Source organism: Homo sapiens, chromosome 1 (genome assembly GCF_000001405.40).
Source record: "Homo sapiens chromosome 1, GRCh38.p14 Primary Assembly".
In the NCBI taxonomy this organism is placed as follows: domain Eukaryota; kingdom Metazoa; phylum Chordata; class Mammalia; order Primates; family Hominidae; genus Homo; species Homo sapiens.
In genome coordinates this window covers 37,432,096-37,453,855 of record NC_000001.11, presented here as the reverse complement: position 1 = coordinate 37,453,855, position 21,760 = coordinate 37,432,096, and the positions used below count along the sequence as shown (strand labels likewise).

The 21,760-nt window shown below is 51.0% G+C and overlaps 3 annotated features.

Moving 5' to 3' along the window:
- Positions 1,106-1,896: an enhancer, noted in NCBI's record as "H3K27ac-H3K4me1 hESC enhancer chr1:37917561-37918351 (GRCh37/hg19 assembly coordinates)". NCBI's record gives its function as "activates a minimal SCP1, AML or CMV promoter by ChIP-STARR-seq in naive H9 embryonic stem cells {active_cell/tissue: H9 hESC(naive)}" and the evidence as "EXISTENCE:reporter gene assay evidence [ECO:0000049][PMID:30033119]".
- Positions 1,106-2,498: a biological region, named in NCBI's record as "P300/CBP strongly-dependent group 1 enhancer GRCh37_chr1:37916959-37918158".
- Positions 1,299-2,498: an enhancer, noted in NCBI's record as "P300/CBP strongly-dependent group 1 enhancer chr1:37916959-37918158 (GRCh37/hg19 assembly coordinates)". NCBI's record gives its function as "activates an origin of replication core promoter dependent on BRD2, BRD4, P300/CBP, MED14 and CDK7 cofactors, with strong dependence on P300/CBP, by STARR-seq in HCT116 cells {active_cell/tissue: HCT116}" and the evidence as "EXISTENCE:reporter gene assay evidence [ECO:0000049][PMID:35650434]".

Below are 21,760 nucleotides of genomic sequence, written 5' to 3'. Positions count from 1 at the left end.
CTGGTCCCTGTGCAAGGTCACGTTGCTTGCCCTCCACGAGCTCCCGTCCTGCTGCTGAGCTCATGTTCTGTGATGGCAGCCTCTGTGTCCATCCTCCCTGCTGGACTGTGGGCTCCACACCGGCTGAGACCTGACTGTCTTGCTCCAGCCTGGCTCTAACTCCAGCACCTGGCACATCTAATCTTGCCTGGCATGTCCTGGTGCTCAGTGGCTTCAACTGAGAAGAGGCCCAGGGTCTTCCTTGGTCCAGCTAAGCCTGGCTTTAGAAAGGATTGGGGCAGACGTAGGGGAGGCAGAGCCCCAAGTCTTGATGGATGGGTGACCTGGGCACTCTGACTTTCTGCACAGGGCTACCCCTTTCCCCCATTGAGACACCCTCCTAACTCAGCTGTAGGCTCTGACACCCCACTTCTGGCTGGCTCTGGCTTCCCACACTGGAACCATCCCCTGCATGGCTGCCTTGCTTTGTCTGCCTGGGCTCTGACACCCATATCAGGCTGACCCCATAGGGGTGACAGCCCCTCACTGATTTGTACTCTGACACCCCTGGGCCAGCCTGCCTTCCCCAGTGGTCCCCCTCCTCACTCTGCTAGGAATCCTGCTGTGTTCATCCATGGTTCCCCCATTCCCTTGCTCTGCTGCACATAATAGTTTTAGGACTGAATTGTTGAGGAAGGAAAGGAGAGAGGAGGAACAGAACTCTGTTTTTGAAAAATTATTTTAACTGTGGACATTTTTGTGCGAGAAAAATTTTGGACAGAATACTAAATGGAGCTGCTCTGGTTGAAGAAAGAGTGAAAGAGAGGGAGAAAGAGAAGAGAATGGGAAAGGACAGACAGCAGAGAGGAGAGGGAGAGGGGAGAGAGAGGACAGGGGAGGGAAGAGGAGAGGGGAGGGGAGGGGAGAGATGAGGGGAGGGGAGGGGAGAGGAGAGGAGGAAGCCCTTCAATGCCCCTGGAGTCCTGCCCACTTGGTCCCACTCCCTCAGAACTCTCATCTGTCATTAAGCTCTTGGGGTTCCTAGGTGTGCAGTTTGGGGACCACCGGACAAGAATTCTGCCTCAAATAAAATGAGTGCCACTTAGCCGCTAAGATGTCTTCTCTGAGCTTTTCTGAGAAGCAGCCCTGGAGGCAGCGGGCTCACCACCTACCCTGAGTAGCTTCTGAGCCTGGCAGCAGTCACCTGGAGCTTGAGGGTAGCAGCTGCCTCTGCCTGGAGGAGGCATCTCTGAGCAGGGCCAGGGGGCCCTGGACAGGCATTGGAGGTGTCCTTCCGGGCCTGGTGGAAGTGGGCTAGGGGCTGTGAGTGAGAAGACTTCTATAGGCCGAGGCACTGGGTAGACACCTCACCCCCAGCCATCTGTGGACCCTTTGTGACCCTTTATGCTCCATCTCTGTCTCCCCCACAATCACCGGAGAAACAGGATCTGGGAATTCTGCCTTGGTGGCCGAAGCAGAAGTCACTGCCCTCCTAATGCCACTCATCGGACCACACAACACTTTCACCGCCAGTCCTTGTGTGATTTGATCTTTGCAAATCAGAGATAGTACTGTTAATAATTTCCCTGCAGGAAAGAGGAAGTTAAGGATATGAGGAATTGCCGTCAGGATCAGAGGTAAGGCCCGGAATCCCAACAGACTCCCATTCCCAGCACCTTCCGGGCACCCGCCTTCGAGGCCTTTCCCCTCCCTGCCGCTTTATAATGCTAATTGAGGGAATGAGTTTCCTTGGCCTGAGAGTGGGCTAGGGCTGGGGCTGGGACCCAGGGCTTAGGCAATCCCAAGGGTCTGGAAAGGAAAACAGGTCAGGAGTAGAACCCTTTCCCAACACCATGGGCCAGCTCCCAGGCCCCATCTTGGGCGTGGGGGATTTGGAGTAGGATGACCATATAATTAGTCATCCAGATTAGGATACGTTTGGGAATGAAAGGGAGTGTCATTAAAAGTTACCCTAGGGCGGCCGGGCGCGGAGGCTCACGCCTGTAATCCCAGCACTTTGGGAGGCTGAGGCAGGTGGATCCAGAGGTCAGCAGTTCGAGACCAGCCTGGCCAACATAGTGAAACCCCATCTCTACTAAAAATACAAAAATTAGGCTGGTGGCTCACGCCTGTAATCCCTGCACTTTGGGAGGCCGAGGCGGGTGGATCACCTGAGGTCAGGAGTTTGAGACCAGCCTGGCCAACATGATGAAACCCCATCTCTACCAAAAAATTAGCCTGATGTGGTGGCGGGTGCCTGTAATCCCAGCTACTCGGGAGGCTGAGGCAGGAGAATCGCTTAAACCCAGGAGGCAGAGGTTGCAGTGAGCCAAGATGGTGCCACTGCACTCCAGCCTGGGTGACAAGAAAAAAAGCTGGCATCGTGGTGTGCACCTGTAGTCCCAGCTACTCAGGAGGCTGAGGCAGGAGAATCGCTTGAATCCGGGAGGCAGAGGTTGTGGTGAGCCAAGATCGTGCCACTGCACTCCAGCCTGGGCAACAGAGCGAGATTCCATCTCAAAAAAAAAAAAAAAAAAAGTTACCCTAGGGCAATAGCTGAGAACCCCCACGAGGTCATTCTGTGATGGAACCCCTGCCCTGCCCTCCCCCTCCGCAGCTTCAGACCCCCACACCCTCTCCTGCTGCTGTGTCTCCAACTGATGCTGAAAGTAAAAGCCGCCACTCACTGGCCGGTTACCTGCCCAGCACTCCACAGAGCTTGTTTTTTGTGACCTTCATGACAGCTGTGAGTCTCATTTTATTGATAGAGACACTGAGGCCCAGAAGAAACTGGCCCAAGAACACACAGGTGGTGAGTGGTAGAGCTGGGATTTGAACCCAGGGAGGCTGGCTTTCCTTGGAAGGATTATACGAACATTTTAATTGGTTTGGCCCACAAGAATTGAATTGCGAAGGAATGAGGCTTCCCAAGCCTTTCATCAGACCGTCCGCAGTCTCTTGTAGCTGTCTTCAGCTCAGGGACATCATTAAAAGGAACTTTGCAGCTTGGGCAACAAGGTGAAATCCTTTCTCTACTAAAAAAAATTTTAAAAATTAGCCAGGCGTGGTGGCGCGAGCCTGTGGTCCCAGCTACTACTTTGGAGGCTAAGGTGGGAGGATCACCTGAGTCTGGGAGGCAGAGGTTGAAGTGAGCCGGAATCGTGCCACTGCACTCCAGCCTAGGCGACAGAGAAAGAACCTGTCTCCACAAAAATATTTAAAAATTACCTGGGCGTGTTGGCACGTGCCTATAGTCTCAGCTACTCAGGAGGCTGAAGTGGGAGAATTGCTTGAGCCCAGGAGTTTGAGGCTGTAGTGAGCCATGACACTCCAGCCTGAGTGATAGAGGGAGACTCCGTCAAAACCAAACAAAACACAAAACAAAACAAAAACCCAAAAAGGCCGGAGAGGTGGCTCACACCTGTAATCCCAGCACTTTGGGAGGCTGAGGTGGGAGGATTGCTTGAGCCTGGGAGTTCTAGACCAGCCTGGGCAACATAACGAGACCTTGTCTCTACAAAAAAACAAAAAAAACTAGCTGGGCATGGTGGCATATGCCTGTGATCCCAGCTACTTGGGGAGGGGTGCTGAGGTGGGAGAATCCCTTGAGGCCAGGAGGTCGAGGTTGCAGTCAGCTTTGATTGTGCCACTGCACTCCGGCCTGGGTGACAGAGCTAAACCCTGCCTCCTAAAAAAAGGAAGTGGGTGGCGGGTATGGGGGAGGGGGATGTGTGGGCAAGGGAAGGAGGGAGGTGCACTCAGCAGGGGCAATGTGTAAGGAGTATGCAATGGAAGGGAGGCAGCCGGATGTCATTAGTCAAAGTTAACATTTGTTATGGACCTACTGCATACCGGGCTCTATTTAAAGTGTTTTCAAGGTACTATTCTATTTAATCTTCATACCAACCCTATAAGCTGGGTTGTTTTACAGATCATCACTACGAAGAGCAAAACAGGCCACTTGCCCACCTTGACAGAGCTGGTAAGTGGCAGAGCCAGGACCATCCAGACGGCTCAGCTTCCAAGCCAGCAAGCCTCATCGCCATGCAGTTTGTCCCCAGGGAGGAAGGATGCTTCTGGTCCCAGGGTCCAGGATGCTCTACCCTCCTTCCTCTAGGATATCCAGGGGGCCAGCTTTAGTGAGAGGAGAGTGCATGGTCCAGCCTTCTGGGGGCACCCAGAGTGTCCCCTTCCACTCCCAGCTTCCCACTTCTGCTCCACTGTCTCCCTGCAGGAGGCTCTGGGAAGGCAGAGATGGAGCTGTGGTCCCCACCGCCTTCTGTGGCAGCTCACTTTCATTCATTTTCTTTAAATGCTTCTCACTCTCTGTTTTTAAATCTAATTTTTCAGCTTCTTTTTCATCTTCATTCAAGTTGCTTTAATGAAACGAAAATGTGTCTGTTTCCCTCTGCTGGAGCTGCCCGGGGAATTTCAATATAAAACAAACAAGTTGGCTTTTAAAATTAAAATTTTATGGGTGGCATTTCCTCATTTAATGGGTGGCACAAAAGAGTGGAGTAAAACCAATTAACATGGGGTTGAGACTCGGTGTTCAGAAAAACTAAACAACAGGAGCGCGGTGCGCCAGGAGCCAGGAGCAGTTCCAGCAGAGGCTGGGGAGGTGCGCGGGTGAGGCAGTTGTGGAGGCTCCCCCCACTCCCTGGCAGCTGTGTGCACCCAGGTCGGGCACTAGCACATACAGGGATGCCAGCCTCAGCTCCCCACCCAGCTCTACCCCCAGGACCCATGCCCAGGGGTTGGTGTGCACATCTACCTTGCACATTCAGATGGCAGGCGATAGTGGGGGCTGAGAATGTGGAGGGGCGGGGGAGGCTGCCTTGGAGCCCTGGGGTCCTGGACACTGTTGTCTGGAGAAGCATTAGGAAGTAGCTAAGGCCTCTGCCAGGGCCAGCATTCATTCGGATAGTTATCCTCTGACGCAATCTGAGTCCTACTCACGAGGGCCTCATCTTCATCATGGCTATGCCCCAGGGCCCAGACCGCACCAGGAGTGTGGCAAGTGCTGCATAGATGCTGGATACCTGGATGAATGACTTCATTCCGGCAAACAATACTAATGGAAATCCTGCTCTGCTGTGACTCCCTCAGGGTGGGTGTCACCCGGCATAGGGTGTGTTTGGGGTAGAAATGGTGAAGATACCACAGGAGATCTGAGGAGCAGGGGCATGCCTGGGTGGCGCTGCAGGGAGAGAATGGCTCTGTGGAACTGGCAAGGGCAGAGTGAACAGGGCTGGAGAAGAGGCAGTCCGGGCAAGGGCGGGGTGGGGAGGGAGCTGAGAAATTGAGGTGGCTGAATCTGGCCTGGAAGGAAGTAGGGGTAAGAAGATGAGTCTGGAGAGACCAGTCGGGGCTGGCTTGTGAAGAGTGGCAGGTTGCTTTGACTTCATCTCAGGGCAATGGGGACTTGCTGCAGGCTCAGAGCAAGGTGATGTGATTCCAGGTGGCTTCAGGGACACTGACTCTGGAGGCTGGTGGGAGGGAAAGGAGAGTCCCGCCAGGTGTGCTGGCATCCCTGCAGGCTGAGCTGAGTACTTCAGGCTGGTTGGTTAAGGTGAACTGTGGCTGCTGGGGGTGGGGAGGGAAGGCAGGGATGATGGTGGGGCCTTTCTCTGAGCTGGAGAGCCTGGAGGAGGAGCAGGTTGGGAAAGTGGAGGGGTTCAGTTGTGGCAACATCAGCAGCCCCCCAATATAGACCCAACTGTGCTAAGGATATAGGAAGGAGATTTCAGACTGGCAGTGACAACTAGATCCCATAAATATAGGGAGGGATATGGTGCCACAGCCCCCTAGGACTCCCGCCAGCCCCAGGAGCCTCCCAGGAATACAGGCCTCCCAGCTTCGGGGCAAAGGGCTCAGGCCACCTCTTTTGTTCCCTCCATCTCTTTCCTTCCCACACTGGCCCTTTCTGTCCCCCAGTGGGGCAGCGTTCTCCCCACCCTTTCTGTCCTCTGACCTTTCATTCTATGGGAAGGACCACTCTGGTTACAGGAACCCCCAGAGTGGCAAAAAGATGGAGGAGGCCAAGGGCATCACCTGCCCAATGTCAGGAGATTGAGCTGGTTGCCATGGCCACCGCCAGCATCCTTAGTCCTCCCCAGTCAGGCCTTCAGACCTGAAAATACACTCCCAGAGTCGTGCAGACTGTGGGCCCCGGGCTGACCTCCAGCAGGGGCATGGCCAGTGGGTGCCAGTACTAATGGAACTCCTGCTCTGCTTCGACTCCCTCGGGGTGTGTGTCACTCAGGAGGGTGTCTTTGAGGGAACATCTATGGTCAGAGGAAGAAGGGCTTCCTAATTCAGGTCTGTGCCGATCCATTCCTGTCAAAGTCCATCCAAGGTGTGTCAGACAACCCAGGTGATGGTCTCTCTGAGAGCAATCTGAGAACCTGTCTGAGTTCCTCTCTTTGAGGCCTGTTTGAAGGCCTACAGACTGTCTGGGTTGGCCCAAGGGCCAGTAGCACAAAACTAATATGGATGGCCGAAGGCCAAGGCTGGCACTGACCCTTCTCCCTTCATACAACAAAGAGTGAATCTGGCTAAGCTTGAAGTAGGTTCTTGTGGCCAGGGGGCTGGTGGAGTAGCTGGTGTTTTTCGTTTGATGATGGATTTTGTTTATTCCAGACCACAAAAAGTTGGCCAAAGCCCCCCTTCCCCCCCGACCATTTATCTGTACAGCTGGCTGGCTGACCTTGACATCTGGCAAAGGCAAAACACTTCTTGAAGACCTCACTGCCTGCCCACACCTCCCTGGGGAAAGAGACACAGTTGTGCCCTGTCTGAAATGGGCTTTTAAGTACGAATAGGGAATTCACCTGGTGAACAAGGTCAGGAAGAACAGTATTGACCGAGTGATACCAGTGAAGACACAGAAATTCAAAACAGTTCTCTGTGGGCCAAGAGAACAACTACATCAGTTTTTCTGGAGTCCAGAACTTGCAAGAGCTTGACATTCGAGTATCACATGAAATCACGTAAGAGAAAGGGTCTTACAAACTAGCATACTGCACAAAATGAGGGCTCACTGTTACCGCCCATCTCTCCTGTTTGTTATGGGAACCAAGTGAGTCGAGATGTGTGAAGTTGCGTTGTAAGCTGGAAGAGTGTTTATGAAAATGTTAATTAATACATTTAGAGAGTAGGTAGATTAAGTGTGAGAATGTGGAGATAGAACAGACAATTAAAATATCTGCTAATTTTTCTCTTGAATTCACATTTTAGGAAATGTTTATAAACTGAGAATTCTAATTACTTTTCTCCTTCACACCTCTTTTCAGATGAATACATTGTAAGAGAATTATAGTATCTGTTAAAAATATTGCCAATCCCAGTGTATCAGTTGGGACTCCTTACAGGGAAAGGAACAGGAGATCCACTGCAACTTGGATTAACCAGTAAAAGGAATGTGTGGTCCGTGTGATTTGGAAGTCTGGGGGTGTATTAGTCTTTTTTCACACTGCTGTAAAGATACTACCTGAGACTGGGTAATTTATAAACAAAAGAGGTTTAATTGACTTACAGTTCTGCATGGCTGGGGAGGCCTCAGGAGACTTACAATCATGGCGGAAGGTGAAGGAGAAGCAAGTACCCTTTTCACAAGATGGCAGGAGGGGGAAGGAGAGAGAGAGAGGAGAGAGGGAAGAGGGGAGGGAGAGAGAGAGGGAGAGAGACAGGGAGGTAAAGAGAAGGAGAGGCAGAGGGAGAGAGAGTGGGAGGGATCAAGGGGGAGAGAGGGAGAGAGATGGGGAGACTGGGAGAGTGGGAGAGTGGGAGACAGAGTGAGAGAGAGAATGAGCAGGGGAAACTGCCACTTTTAAACCATCAGATCTGGTGAGAACTCCCTCACTATCATGAGAACAGCATGGGGGAAACCACCCCTGTAATCCAATCACCTCCCACCAGTTCGTAATTGACACACAGGGATTACAATTAGAAACGAATTTTGGAGGCGGGGCGCGGTGGCTCACGCCTGTAATCCCAGCACTTTGGGAGGCTGAGGCGGGTGAATTACGAGGTCAGGAATTCGAGACCAGCCTGGCCAACATAGTGAAACCCCGTCTCTACTAAAAATACAAAAAAATTAGCCAGGTGTGGTGGCACATGCCTGTAGTCCCAGCTACTCGGGAGGCTGAGGCGGGATAATTGTGTGAACCTGGGAGGCAGAGGTTGCAGTGAGCTGAGATCATGCCTTTGCACTCCAGCCTGGGTGACAGAGTGACACTCTGTCTCAAAAAAAAAAAAAAAAAAGAAGAGCCGGGCGTGGTAGCTCACGCCTGTAATCCCAGCACTTTGGGAGGCTGAGGTGGGTGGATCACTTGAGGTCAGGAGTTCAAGACCAGCCTGGCCACCATGGTGAAATGCCACCTCTATTAAAAATACAAAAATTAGCCAGGTGTGGTGGCGTATGCCTGTAATCCCAGCTACTTGGGGGGCTGAGGCAGGAGAATCACCTGAACCAGGGAGGCAGAGGTTGTAGTGAGCTGAGATTATGCCATTGCACTCCAGCCTGGACAATAAGAGGGAAACTCTGTCTCAAAAAAAAAAAAAAAAAAAAAAAGTTTTGGGTGGGGACACGGCCAAACCATATCAATAGGTAAGACGAACTTCAAAGGGGATTTGATCCAGAGTTTGTTACTCAGGCTCAGGCTTGCTTCTCCTAGGCTTTTCCCTCTAAATCCTGGGAGAGAGAGAGAGGCTTCTCCTTGGCCAAAAATTCAGCACAATTCCTGAGCTGCACTTCTGATGGGTCTAACTTGGGTCAGGAGCGGGGGGAATGCCAGGCCTTAGTTCTGCATAAAGTGCCCATCACTGAAAGAATCACTGTGGTACCAGAGGCAGGTGAAATGGGTGCTGGGAGCCCACCAGGATGCCTACTATTCCTGGTTGCTCAGGTAGACCACTGGGTTTCAGATGTGCCAACCTGGAGTTGTGTTCAATTTCCTGCCCTCATTGCTGATTCATCATCTAGAATTTCTCTTCTCTGTAGTTCTTCCTTTGCAGCCATGATCCTGGGCCAGGCCTTGTCCCATCAATCCACACTCAAACTACTACCATAGTTTTTTTTTTTTTTTTAGCTACTTAGTCACTAGCCTCTTTCCTTGCCAATACATCTTCTTCCCCTATAGCCGCTCAAAAGCTTAACACATTTAATCACAGCAAAGAACACACATCACAGCTGATGTGATAAGACAAAAAACACAATTTCAAAATTTATGGGAAAACTGTCATCATGTGCCAGAGACACAATTTTATAACTAGAAAACTCAATGAAAGTAACTAAAAACAATTAATTATAGCAAATGAAAAGTTTAGGCCAGGCCTGGTGGCTCATGCCTGTAATCCCAGCACTTTGGGAGGCCCAGGTGAGAGGATCATTTGAGGCCAGGAGTTAGAGGCCAGCCTGGGCAACACGGTGAGACCCCATCTCTATAAAAATGAAAAGAAGTTAGCTGGGCATGGTGGTGCATATTATTCAGGAGGTTGAGGTGGGAGGATCACTTGAGGCCAGGAGTTGGAGACCAGCCTGGGTCACAGAGCAAGACTGTCTCTATTTTTTTTTTAATTAATTTTTTTTTTACACTGCAGGAAGAGACCCTGTCTCTTAAAAAAAAAAGTTTAGTAAGATGTCAGATACAAAATAATAAAAATTTAAAGCTTTCTTCTTCTTCTTTTTTTTTTGCAATGGCACGATCTCGGCTCACTGCAACCTCTGCCTCCTGGGTTCAAGCGATTCTCCTGCCTCAGCCTCCTGAGTAGCTGGGATTACAGGTGCGCACCACCATGCCTGGCTAATTTTTGTATTTTTAGTAGAGATGGGGTTTCACCATGCTGGTCAGGCTGGTCTCGATCTCCTGACCTCATGATCCACCCGTCTTGGCCTCCCAAAGCGCTGGGATTACAGGCGTGAGCCACTGTGCCCCAGCCAGCTTTTTTCTATAATGGCAATAATCAGTTTTAAAATATTGTAGCAGGTTATCTGAATAAGAGGGTCTTTTTTTTTTTTCCGACCTAATGAAGCTCAGTTGGGGATAGTTGTTTTCTAGAAATCATGTTAATTTTAGGGGTGTAGACACATGTGAACTTGAAGCACACCCCTTATTTTATTTCATTTTTAAGTTTTCTGTTTTTGTTTTTGTTTTGAGACAGCCTTGCTCTGTCACCCAGCATGGAATGCAGTGGTGAGATCATAGCTCTCTGCAGCCTCAAGCTTCTGGGTTCAAATGATCCTTCCACCTTGCCCTCCCAACTAGCTGGGACTACAGGCATGACCCACTACACCTGACTAATTTATTTATTTAGTTTTGTAGAGATGGTGGTCTCACCATATTGCCCAGGCTGATCTCAAACTCCTGGTCTCATGGGATCTTCCCACCTTGGCCTCCCAAGGTGCTGAAATTACAGGCATGAGCCACGGTACCCAACCTCTTCTCCTCTCATTTTAATAAAATCACTGGGACAGGTCCTTTATAGGAATAAGGCAAACACCACCTGCTTGTCTGGGAAGAGCCCTGGAAGAACTGTAAGTGGTGGAATGCAAACTGAGATGTTAAATATTCTGTTTCATAATGACTGCGTTTCAAGCAGAGTTTGCTATGGATGTGACCTGGTTTTATGGCCTGGGTGGGAGCAGAGAAGAACAGGGATTTTCAGGTGTGGGGAGGCCTGAGGAAGCTTTCATTGGTGGCTGTGCTCTCCCATACAATAGGGACCCTGAGAATGGGTGTACAGTCCAGGGTCCCAAGGGAACACTGTGTAGCTGTCAGTGTAGCCGTGTAGGAACCCTGACTGCAGCAAATGAAGACAGAAGGAGGAAAGACAGTGGTGGGGGTGGGGGAGCAGGGAGACAGAGAGAGAGACAGACAGACAGACAGACAGACACACAGAAACAGAGACAGACATACATACACACACAGAGACAGAGAAAGAGACAGAGAGAGAAAAAGAGGCAGACAGAAAGAGACAGGCAGAGAGAGACACACACACAGAGAGACAGAGAGACAGACAGACACACACACACACACAGAGACAGACAGACACACACAGAGACAGAGAGAGACAGAAAAAGACAGAGACAGACACAGAGAGACACAGAGACAGAGACACCGACAAACACAGAGAGACAGACAGACACGGAGAAAGAGAGAGAGAGACAGAGAGAGACAGAGAAAGAGACAGACAGAAATAGAAACACAGAGAGAGGGAGAGACAGAGAGAGACAGACAGAGACAGACACAGAGAAAGAGAGAGAGATAGGGAGAGAGAGAAAGACTGACAGACAGGGAGAGACACACACACACAGAGACAGAGAGAGGGAGAGTGGAGGGAGAGAGAGAGAGAGAGGGAGAGTGGAGGGAGAGAGAGAGACAGAGAGAGGGAGAGTGGAGGGAGAGAGAGAGACGGAGAGTGGAGGGAGAGAGAGAGACAGAGAGAGAGAGAGTGGAGGGAGAGAGAGAGACAGAGAGAGGGAGAGTGGAGGGAGAGAGAGAGAGAGAGACAGAGAGAGGGAGAGCGGAGGGGATGCAAGAGAAGCCGGCAGGAGAAGGAGCGGTGAGACAGTGAGTTGAGAAGTGGCCCCAGGACTGTGTGTGGAACATACAAGCACCTGTCTGGATCCCCCAGATGCCAAAGTATAATTCTCAAAATATTAAAACCATAATTCTCATGCAATACACAGTGAGCACCATCAAAATATTATTTAGCTCAATGAGAGAATCTTTAAACAAGGTGGTTCAAAGAAGAATATGAGAAACTCGCATGAAAAATGATGATGGAATAAGATACTAAATTAGATATGAAATTGGTTGATAGCCTATAGGACATTAAAACCATAACCTTTTGGGATTATTTTCTCTAGTGGATGGAAATCACTTGCCCCTTACCAGTTTTCTACAAGTAAACATCTAATTTTACAGAGCCTGGGCCCTAAGCAATAGTCAAATAGACTAGTCAAATAGAATGTCGAACATTCTCGTTACTCTAGACAGGCTTGTTGGCCAATGCTTGGGGCGTGGAGAGGAATTAAACCACATTTTTGCCAGTTTTAGAATCTCATGGAGAAATAGACCATGTTTGGTTTGGGTTTTGGGGGTTCAAAGTCATTTTAAATGGACTCTGAGAAGAAATATGAGCCACACTTGGATCCCAACATGGTGAGGTGGGGCACAGAGAAGCAGCGTCACGTGGTACCCGTGGCCTGGGGACAACTTGTGGGGGTGAGGAGATGGCCTGTACCCACCGCTATGCCGGGCTTCGAAGCACCTCTCCTTAGACTTCAGAGTCGCATCAAGCTTTTCGTTTTCTGGAGGGTTTTTTTTTCTTTTAAAACTTTTATTTGTATTTATTTATTTATCTATTTACTTTTTGAGACAGGGTCTCACCCTGTCACCCAGGCTGGAGTGCAGAGGCATGATCACGGCTCACTGCAGCCTCGATCTCCTGGGCGCAGGTGATCCTCCCACCTCAGCCCCCTCAGTAGATGGGACTATAGGAAGGCACCACCACACATTTTTCTATTTTTATTAGAGATGGGGTTTCACTATGTTGCCCAGACTAGTGCTTTTTTTTAAAATTAAAAATTTAAAATTGTGTTAAAATATACAAAACAAAATCGATCGTTTCAATATTATTTTATTTATTTATTTAGACAGAGTCTCGCTCTGTTGCCTGGGCTGCAGCAGCCTTGAACTCCTGGGCTCAAGTGATCCTCCCACCTCAGCCTCCTGAATACCTGAGACTACAGTTGTGCACCACCACACCCAGCTAATTTTTTGATTTTTTTTATTTTTGATGGAGATGGGGTTATGTTGCAGTGTTCTCAAGCTGGTCTCAAACTCCCAGGCTCAAGTGATCCTCCTGCTTTGGCCTCCCAAAGTTCTGGGATTACAGGCATAAGCCACTGCATCCAGCCTACAATGCATGTTAAAAGGTTAAGCACAGGAGGAAACAGTAAAACAGGGTGAGGGGGATTGGGAGCGTGTGACGGGGTATTGGGTCAGAGTTGCATCATTGGGAAGACATTCGATAGTCTTGAAGGAGGTGAATTGTATTGGGAGGAAGGGTTCCAGATTGGTGAGAGTACATCAGTTATGTCTGAGGTCAGAGTGAGTGAGGGGGATGGGTAGTGGGAGAAGAACATGACCTTGGAGGCCATTTTAAGAACTTAGGTTTAACTCCAAGTGAGATGGGAAACCATGGTAGGATTTTGAGCATAGAAATGACATGATCTGACTTTTGTTTTATTTTTATTTATTTATTTATTTTTTGAGACAGAGTCTCGCTCTGTCACCCAGGCTGGAGTGCAGTGGCACAATCTCGGCTCACTGCAACCTCCGCCTCCTGGGTTCAAGCAATTATCCTGCCTCAGCCTCCTGAGTAGCTGGGACTACAGGCACGCACCACCACGCCTGGCTAATTTTGTATTTTTAATAGAGACTGGGTTTCACCATCTTGGCCAGGCTGGTCTTGAATTCCTGACCTCAGGTGATCCACCCGCCTTGGCCTCCCAAGGTGTTGGAATTACAGGCATGAGCCACTGCACCCGGCCTGACTTATGTTTTAAAGGATTCACATTGGTCTGTGTGTTGAGAATAAATTGAAGAGGGGTTGGAGAGGCAGGGACAGAAACGGGGAGACCAGTTAGAAGGCTGCCACAGTAATCCTGGGTCACAGGTACTGTGGTTCCAGTGGCTGGTGGATCATTACAGCACAGAGCCTGGCCCCTACCCAGCCTCCTCAGCAAATCTTCTACCTCTACCCCAGCCGTCATCTGCTTGAGGGGAAGCTTGGAAGAGAACCACTGTTACTGAGGACCTACTATGTGCCAGGCATTGTTTTAGGTGCCTTGTGTTGATGACCTCATTTAATCTTCAAAGAGACTTGTGAAGAAGTGGTTGTTCCACAGACATTTCAAAGCCCATGCTATGGACTGAATTGTGACCTCCCTAAATTCCTAAGTTGAGGCTCTAATCCCCAGTGTATTTGGAGATGGGGCCTTTGGGGTATAATTAGGTTTAGATGAGCTCAGGAGGGGGTCCCTCGTGATGGGATTAGTGTCCTTATAAGAATAAACACCCTGGAGACTCCCATCCCCCACCATATGAGGACACAGCGAGAAGGCAGCTGTCTGCAAGTAAGGAAGAGAGCCCTCCCCAGGGACTGAATCTGCTGGCACTTTGCTCTTAGACTTCCCAGCCTCCAGAACTGTGAGCAATAAATATCTGTTGTTTAAACCCCCCAGTCTGTGGTATTAGTTATAGTAGTTGGAGCTAACTCAATAGAGCCCATTTTACAGATAAGGAAACTGAGGCTCTGAGGTGTTAGGTGATCTGACCAGTCAGTTGTGGGGTGGCAGAGCATTGGGCTGGGCTGTGATGGGAGACTTGGGAGTCAGAGAGATTAGGGCTTGAGGGAGACCTGCCTGTGGGGTTGGGGGCCCTGGCATTGAGGAGTTGCAGAGGGACAAGGCCAACTCTCAGGGGTGTCTGGGCCTGGTGGACTCCTGCCTGGGGTGGGGAATGGGAAGGAGGAAGTATCTGGGAAAGAAAGCTTCGATCTGGGTGGTTTTGGGGGGAGTTCCTGCCTCAGCCTCTCTGTGCAGTTTCCCAGGGCCTGGCTCTAGCTTTTCCAGGCATGTGGGGGGTCTGCCTGGGGCCTACTGAGGCCCTTCCTGCTGCCTCTCAGCCTTGCTGGTGGCTCGAGCTGTCCAGGCTTGTGGTCCTGGAGGTGGCAGGTGGTGGTGGTGGGGGATGGAAGGGGAGGAGGGAGGCGCTAGGGGTTCAGTCATGACTCCCTGGGGCCTGTTCATTGCTCACTCTCAGAGAAGGTGGTGAAGAGGGCAGAGTGTTAATGACAGTAATTGCTTTAATTATTTTTTTGGTTTGGAGAGTCATAAAATGCAGCAGCTCGCTTAGTGCTAATCATGGTAATTAGGAGGGGCTGGGGGCTGTGCTTGGACTGCAATTGTTAACTAGGGGGAAGTAACAGCCTGCAAAGACACAGAAGCAAATGCTCAGTCCTCCTTTCTCCTCTCCCCCTTTCCCTCCTATCCCTCTCCTTTCAGCCTTTTATCTCCCCACCTTGCTTCCCTCCTTCTCCCTCTGCCATGCCTCCTCCACCCCGCCCCTTCAGAGGGAGGCCTCTTTGATGGTGGTGGCAGTGGGCGGCTGTAGGGATCCAGGGACTGACCTCAGGTCTGGGGAGAGTAGCTGTTCTGGGGAGAGGGGGAGAATCAGTCTCAAGCAGAAGTCTGTTCTCCCCTGGGCAGCCTCCTGCAGAGCTCCTCTAGGTCTGAGGAGCCTGTGACAGACCAAGTGCCTGTGCCCTTCCAGATGAGCCAGGAGAGACAGCAGAGGTGCTCCCTTGGGCGCAACTGGGGGCAGATGCAGGGAATGGATGGACGTTGGGCTACCCTCTTGCTTCCCTTTACCCATCAACAACCAAGAAGCACACACTGAGCCACTTCCTGAATACCTACTGTGTGCCAGGGTGGAGATTCTTTGGGGGAATCGGACTCTGCCTTGTCCTCAAGGAGCTGGTATGGAAGAAGTAAGGACCATCCAGGGTGGCATCAGAGGCACAGAGCCCAGGCTGATGGTGTCAACCTTGGTAAGTCAGGGAAGGCTTCCTGGAGGAGGTGGCAGGGCCATCAGGGGAGACTTCCCAGAGGGAGCAAGGTTGTGCAAAGTGAATAGTGGTTTCCTGGATGTGAAGGGTAGGGATTCGGGTGGAGGGAACAGCATAGGCAAAGGACTGGAAGGAGGGTACAGGAGAGAGGAGAATGGGAGTTACAGCATGAGAAATGGCTTTAGGCTAGATTGTGAGGGGCCTCAAAGACCCCACCATGGGATTTGGGCTTGACATGCTAGCTTCTGAGACTCTATTTGCCTAGGGTTTGGGGAAGGGTTGGAGTCAGGAAGTTTTTTTATGAGGAGTGAATGAAAACATGTAGGCGAAGCACAAAGTGGGTGCTCTGTGGATGATGTTGACAATGATAACAAGGTGATCAGCCAAGGATAGTGTCCCAGGGATACGTAGACATGCTGCTGCAGAGACACAAGTAGACACAGACATGGGAGCTACCATTACACAAAGCACAGAGACAAACACACACCTATCCTCACCCCAAAGACATGTACAAAGTCAGGCTTGACACACCAGATCCACAACTGTGAGTTCATCTTTGAGGGGTTTGCTAAGGCCAGAGGTGTGCCCCAACTCCTTGACCTTGTAACTTTGCTCCCTGGGACCGTGGGCTGCATGGCTGGGGCCGAGTCAGGGAGAACATCCTCTGCAGGTCACCCCAGCATTCCCTCTGCTCTGTCAGAATGTGACCCTTGGCACTACAGCTAGAGAGCCTGAGGCCAGCTATCAATAAGAATTGTCTGGCTGAGAAGCCAGTGGTGGGGCAGCTTTCTGCAGTTAGGGCTGCCACTTACCACCCCAGGCCTGAGTGACTGGTGAGGCAGACACACCTGGTTTGGGGCAGGGAGCTGTTCTACCCCAGGCCAAACTCTTATCCTCTCCCAAGACCAGGGTCTCGGAGTCACCAGGGGCCCTCCCCTGGTATGCTTAGACAGCTCCCCTGGTGAGCTCAGTGTGATGCCTATTATGGGTGGTGCATGTAAATATCTGCTGTGGATGATAAGTGCCTTGCAACCGGAGGGATAGTGATTAGACCTCAGGGGCTACTTCTAGATTGTGAGGGGGTGTGAGGAACAACAGAGGAGTAAAAGGAACAGCAGCAAGGAGGATCCTGGGATTTGGTGAGGGGCTACATTCCTGGGAGATGTGGTAGAAGGAGCTTGCTGTGTGCCAGGCACGATTCCGAAGCATGTTACATGTGTTAACTCCATTAATCCTTCTAACACTCAGTGAAGCAGGTGTCTTGAGTATCCCATTTTACAGATGCAGAACTTAAATACTTTGTGCAATTCACACAGCTTGGAAGTGGCGGAAGCTGATAGGAGCCCAGACAGATGGACCTCAGAATCTGCTCCATCATAGCACTCACTGATGGTCTGGCCCTGTCTGTTTCTCCAGACTGGGAGCTCCTTGAGTACGATGCTAGTGACTCCTTCTCCCTTGTGTTCCCAGGAGCCAGCACGGGGGAGTATCTGGTAGTTGCTCACCACGTCTGGAAGGAAGAAAGGAAGGACATAAGGAAGGGAAGAAGAGAGGGAGAGACAAAGGAAGAAAGTATTGGAGGGCGGGATGTGGTGGCTCACACATGTAATCCCAGAACTTTGGGAGGCCAAGGCGGGCAGATCACTTGAGGTTGGGAGTTGGAGACCAGCCTGACCAACATGGTGAAACCCCATCTCTACGAAATATACAGAAATTAGCCGGGTGTGGTGGCGTGCATCTGTAGTCCCAGCTACTCAGGAGGCTGAGGCAGGAGAATCGCTTGAACCCAGGAGGGGGAGGTTGCAGTGAGCTGAGATTGTGCCATTGCACTCTAGACTGGGCAACAGAGTAAGACTCCATCTTAAAAAAAAAAAAAGTGTTAGAGGCAGGGGCTTGTGCAGAGGGTCTTGGGGCATTTCAGACCTACCATCCTGTCCCTGTATTGCATTCCCTGCCTGTTGGGTGCCCTCCTATGCCTGCCACCACCCCTGGATCCTCCAGGTCTCCCGAAGCTCAGCTGCCTCCTTGTCCAATTTCATTTTCTCACCAGACAAATGAGGGGCTGGATCCGCCTTTCCATTCACACAGGCAGTTGTCAGCTGCAGTGGCATCTGTTCTTGTTGGAAAAATTAAGAAGGAAGTGAAAGAAGCCACAGCCCTAGAGCGGATGGCTAGGGAATCTGGGTCTGGCCTCTCCTGCGAAGACCTTTCCTGTCTCCCGTAGGAGGTGCCTGGGAGGCAGCTCAGGGCCGCAATGGACATGGGTTCTCCACCAACATTCTCTTCCCTTGAGAGGGAAGTGTGGGCCACAGGCAGTGGCTCACATCTGTAATTCCAGCACTTTGAGAGGCCACGGCGGGTGATCGGGTGGATCATTTGATCCTAGGAGTGGGACCAGCCTGGGCGACATGGCAAAACCCCGTCTCTACAAGAAAATTAGCCGGGCGTGGTGGCACGCACCTGTAGACCCAGCTACTCAGGAAGCTGAGGTGGAGGATCTATTGAGGCCTGGGAGGTGGAGGCTGCAGTGAGCCACTGTGCCACTGCACTCCAGCCTGGGCAACAGAGCGAGACCTTGTCTCAAAAAGAAGACAACGACAACAAACAAACAAACAAACAAACAAAAAACCGGAAAATGTGGTTAACATGGTTAACAGTATGGCCTCTGGAGCCAACTCCTGGGCAGGATCCCAGCTCTAGACTGACAGCTGTATGTTTGCTTGGGCAAGTTATCTAACCTCTCCGTACCTTAGGTTTCCCATCTAGCTCATAATAATGTTGTGAGGGTTAAATGAATTGATATATGTAAAACATGTGGAATCGAATACACATCTGGTACCTAGTAAGCATGTGCTTTAGTAGTGTCATAGCTGTTATTTTTTCTCTTCCTTGCCCTAGGGATTGCTTCTCTGAGGGAGGCACTCAGCCTACTGGTGTGGTGCACCCAGAGACAGAAGAGCTTTCTATGGACTGGGCAGGTTGGAGAAGGCTTCATTAATTCTACAGACCTTTATCGATCCCAGGTCCCTGAACCTCCCCCGCCCCACCGGGAACCCCAAGTCTAGAGCGGAGGGAGGCAGACACATAAACAGAGAATCAGTATAAGAGGCAAGTATGTAATGTTCAGGGGAAAAGAGGAGGTAGTGGCTAATGGATATGAAGGCTGGTGGAGGGAGGAGGTCAGAGAAGGCTTCCTGGAGGAGGTGGCATAAGTAGAAAGTAGAACTGCGAATGACAGTTTGCCAGGCAGTCCCAGGGTGGAAGGCCTTCCGGGAGACTAAGAAGAGATGTGCTCTGGGCAGCAGGAGCCCGGCTGTGAGGAGCCTGGGCTTTATCCTAAGGGCAGGAGGGAGCACCAAGGGCTGTGGAGTAGCAAGGACATAGGCAGCTGGAGGAAGGTGGCTTGGGCAGCTGTTGGAAGATGGCTGGGCATGGGAGGACTTGTCAGTTCCCTTCCTTATTCATCTCTGCAGCCCCAGCTGCCAGGACTGGTCAGTCCAGCACAGCATTGCTGGCTACCACTGAGTAGATGAACAAAGGAAAATACCTGTGATCATCTAGGCCTGAGACAGCTGGGACCAGAGAGGTAGCTGGGGTTTTGTAGGAGGGTGCAGAGCTGACGGTTTGTGGACTCTTGCAGAAGGTGTGGGGACTTCTCTTGAGGGTCATGTGCTTCTGGCTCCCCTAACAGCTCAGCCTGGGGTTGCCCTGTGTGGGAGAGGCAGGTCATGCCAGCAGCTGGGCCTGACTGGCTCTGTCCAGCAGGGGGCAGCCGCAGTGCGCAGATGGGCGTGCCCGGCGCCTTTTCTAAGTGCCACCAGCACTTAGAAAAGGGTCTTCGTGGTGGGTGGGTCGGACCCAGTGTGGCAAGGGCTTCCTTGGCGAGCTGAAGGGCAGAGAGGGGGCACCTTCACACCCTCAGGATCTTGTTGATTGGGGCAGTCCTGCGGAGACCAGGGATGCCCGCAAGACCCTGGGAAGCCTAAGTAATTTTCAACCCTGGGAGCACATTAGAGTAGCCTGGGGAGTGTTAAAAACCCACCCAGGCCTGGTGCCCTCCCCAGATCCATGAATCAGAGTCTGAGGGTGGGGCTCAGGCACCAGTCATTAAAAAAAAAAAAAAAAAAAAAAATCTCCCCTGGCCAGGTGCGGTGTCTCACGCCCGTAATCCTAGCACTTTGGGAGGCCGAGGCGGGTGGATTACCTGAGGTCAGGAGTTCAAGACCAGCCTGGCCAACATGGTGAAACCCTGTCTCTACTAAAAATACAAAAAATTAGCCGGGTGCAGTGGCGTATGCCTCTAATCCCAGCTACTTGGGAGGCTGAGGCAGGAGAATCGCTTGAAATCGGGAGGTGGAGGTTGTGGTGAGCCGAGATCACGCCATTGCATTCCAGCCTGGGCAACAAGAGTGAGACTCTGTCTCAAAAACAAAAAAACCCAAAAACAAACAAACAAACAAAAAACTCCCCTGGCAATTCTCTTTTGTTTGTTTCTTTTTTTTCTTTTATTTTTTTAATTGAGACGGGGTCTCACTCTGTCACCCAGGCTGGAATGCAGTGGCACGATCCCTTGGCAATTCCAGTACGCACTGAATTGCCCAGTGGCAGGGGTTTGAGAGGAGTGAGCCAACAAATGTCAGGACCTTCTTTTCCCTCCTGTGGGGTAGGTCTGGGTCATTTAGATCTCATGCCCACTATAGTCACAGCAGGGGGTCCGACGGCCCTTGGCCCTTGGCCTCAAGGCTGAGAGAAGGTGGGGAGCAGGGTCGCCTGCAAGGAGACACCTGCTCCCACCTGCCAAGGATGAGGCATTCAGAGTGGCTGTGGGGTGTGCTCGGGAGTGTGTCTCAGCACCGCTGCGCGTGCGGGGGCACATCCCTGTGTGCAGGTGCTGGGTACCTACGTGCATGCAAGTGTGTCTGTCCGGCATGTGAAGGGGCTTTTGGGGCTGGTTCTGTCTGCCTGGCATGCTGGCTTTTGCCTCTGTGCTTTGTGTATGTGTTGGGACACGAGTGTTGCTCTGCGCCAGCAGCTGTGAGCTGTCTCTGTCTGCAGGTTGTCTCTGCATACACGTTGCCTCTGTGTCTTTTGTGTGTCATGGTGTGTGGCTATCTCAGGGCTGGCCTGTGCACATCTGTGTTCTTGGGTCTTTTAGAGCCAACGACGAATATGAAGCTCTGCTGTTTGAAGGTGTTTTTTCTCTTTCTTTCTCTCCTTCCAGCCTGATCAGTATGCTGCTCCCGTGCAGCCTCCCCAAAGACCACACACAGGCGAGTTCTGTGTGGACAGAGTCAAGTGTGGGCTTAGAAAGATCCACCACAGCCCCTCTAGGAGTAATACCTCCAGTCAGCCTCCCTCTAGGTGTGCAGCCGGTCTTGCTGGCCAGAGCCTCCTTGCGGCCGATGCAGCCAGCAACAGGCACCGTCGGCCCACCGAGCGTGCCAGGCCCACCGCCCCTCCCTGCCCACCATGTTGGAAAGGCCATAGGAGGGATCTCAGCTAAGCAGGGCCAGATGGAGACAGAAGGACCTCCCAAGCAGGCCAGTTTGGTGCCACTTTATGTCAATATTCTCTAAATATTTGTACAACATTTATTTAGTGGAGAAGGTAAAATGATATTCTGTTAGTTAAAAAAAACCCCAGTATATCTGCTTATAATAAAAAATGGAATTTATTGCATGCACCAAGCATCACATACATGTTAACTTAGCCTTTGATATCGGAGTTTTCCCATCATTTATAATTGGATGTACATTGTGATTCACTAAGGATGGAGGTAACTGTTACATAGCTGTGGATACGTAGTTTGTTCCCAGAGACATAACTCTTTTTTTGAGACGGAGTCTCGCACTGTTGCCCAGGCGCAGTCTCGGCTCACTGCAATCTCTGCCTCCTGGGTTCAAGTGATTCTCCTGCCTCAGCCTCCCGAGTAGCTGGGATTACAGGTGCCTACCACTAGGCCCAGTTAATTTTTGTATTTTTAGTAGAGACGGGGTTTCACCATATTGGCCAGGCTGGTCTTGAACTCCTGACCTCAGGTCATCTGCCCACCTTGGCATCCCAGTGCTGGGATTACAGGCATGAGCCAACGCGCCTGGCCCCAGAGACAGAAGTCTTTATCAGGCATTGTTTGGTTTGAAAA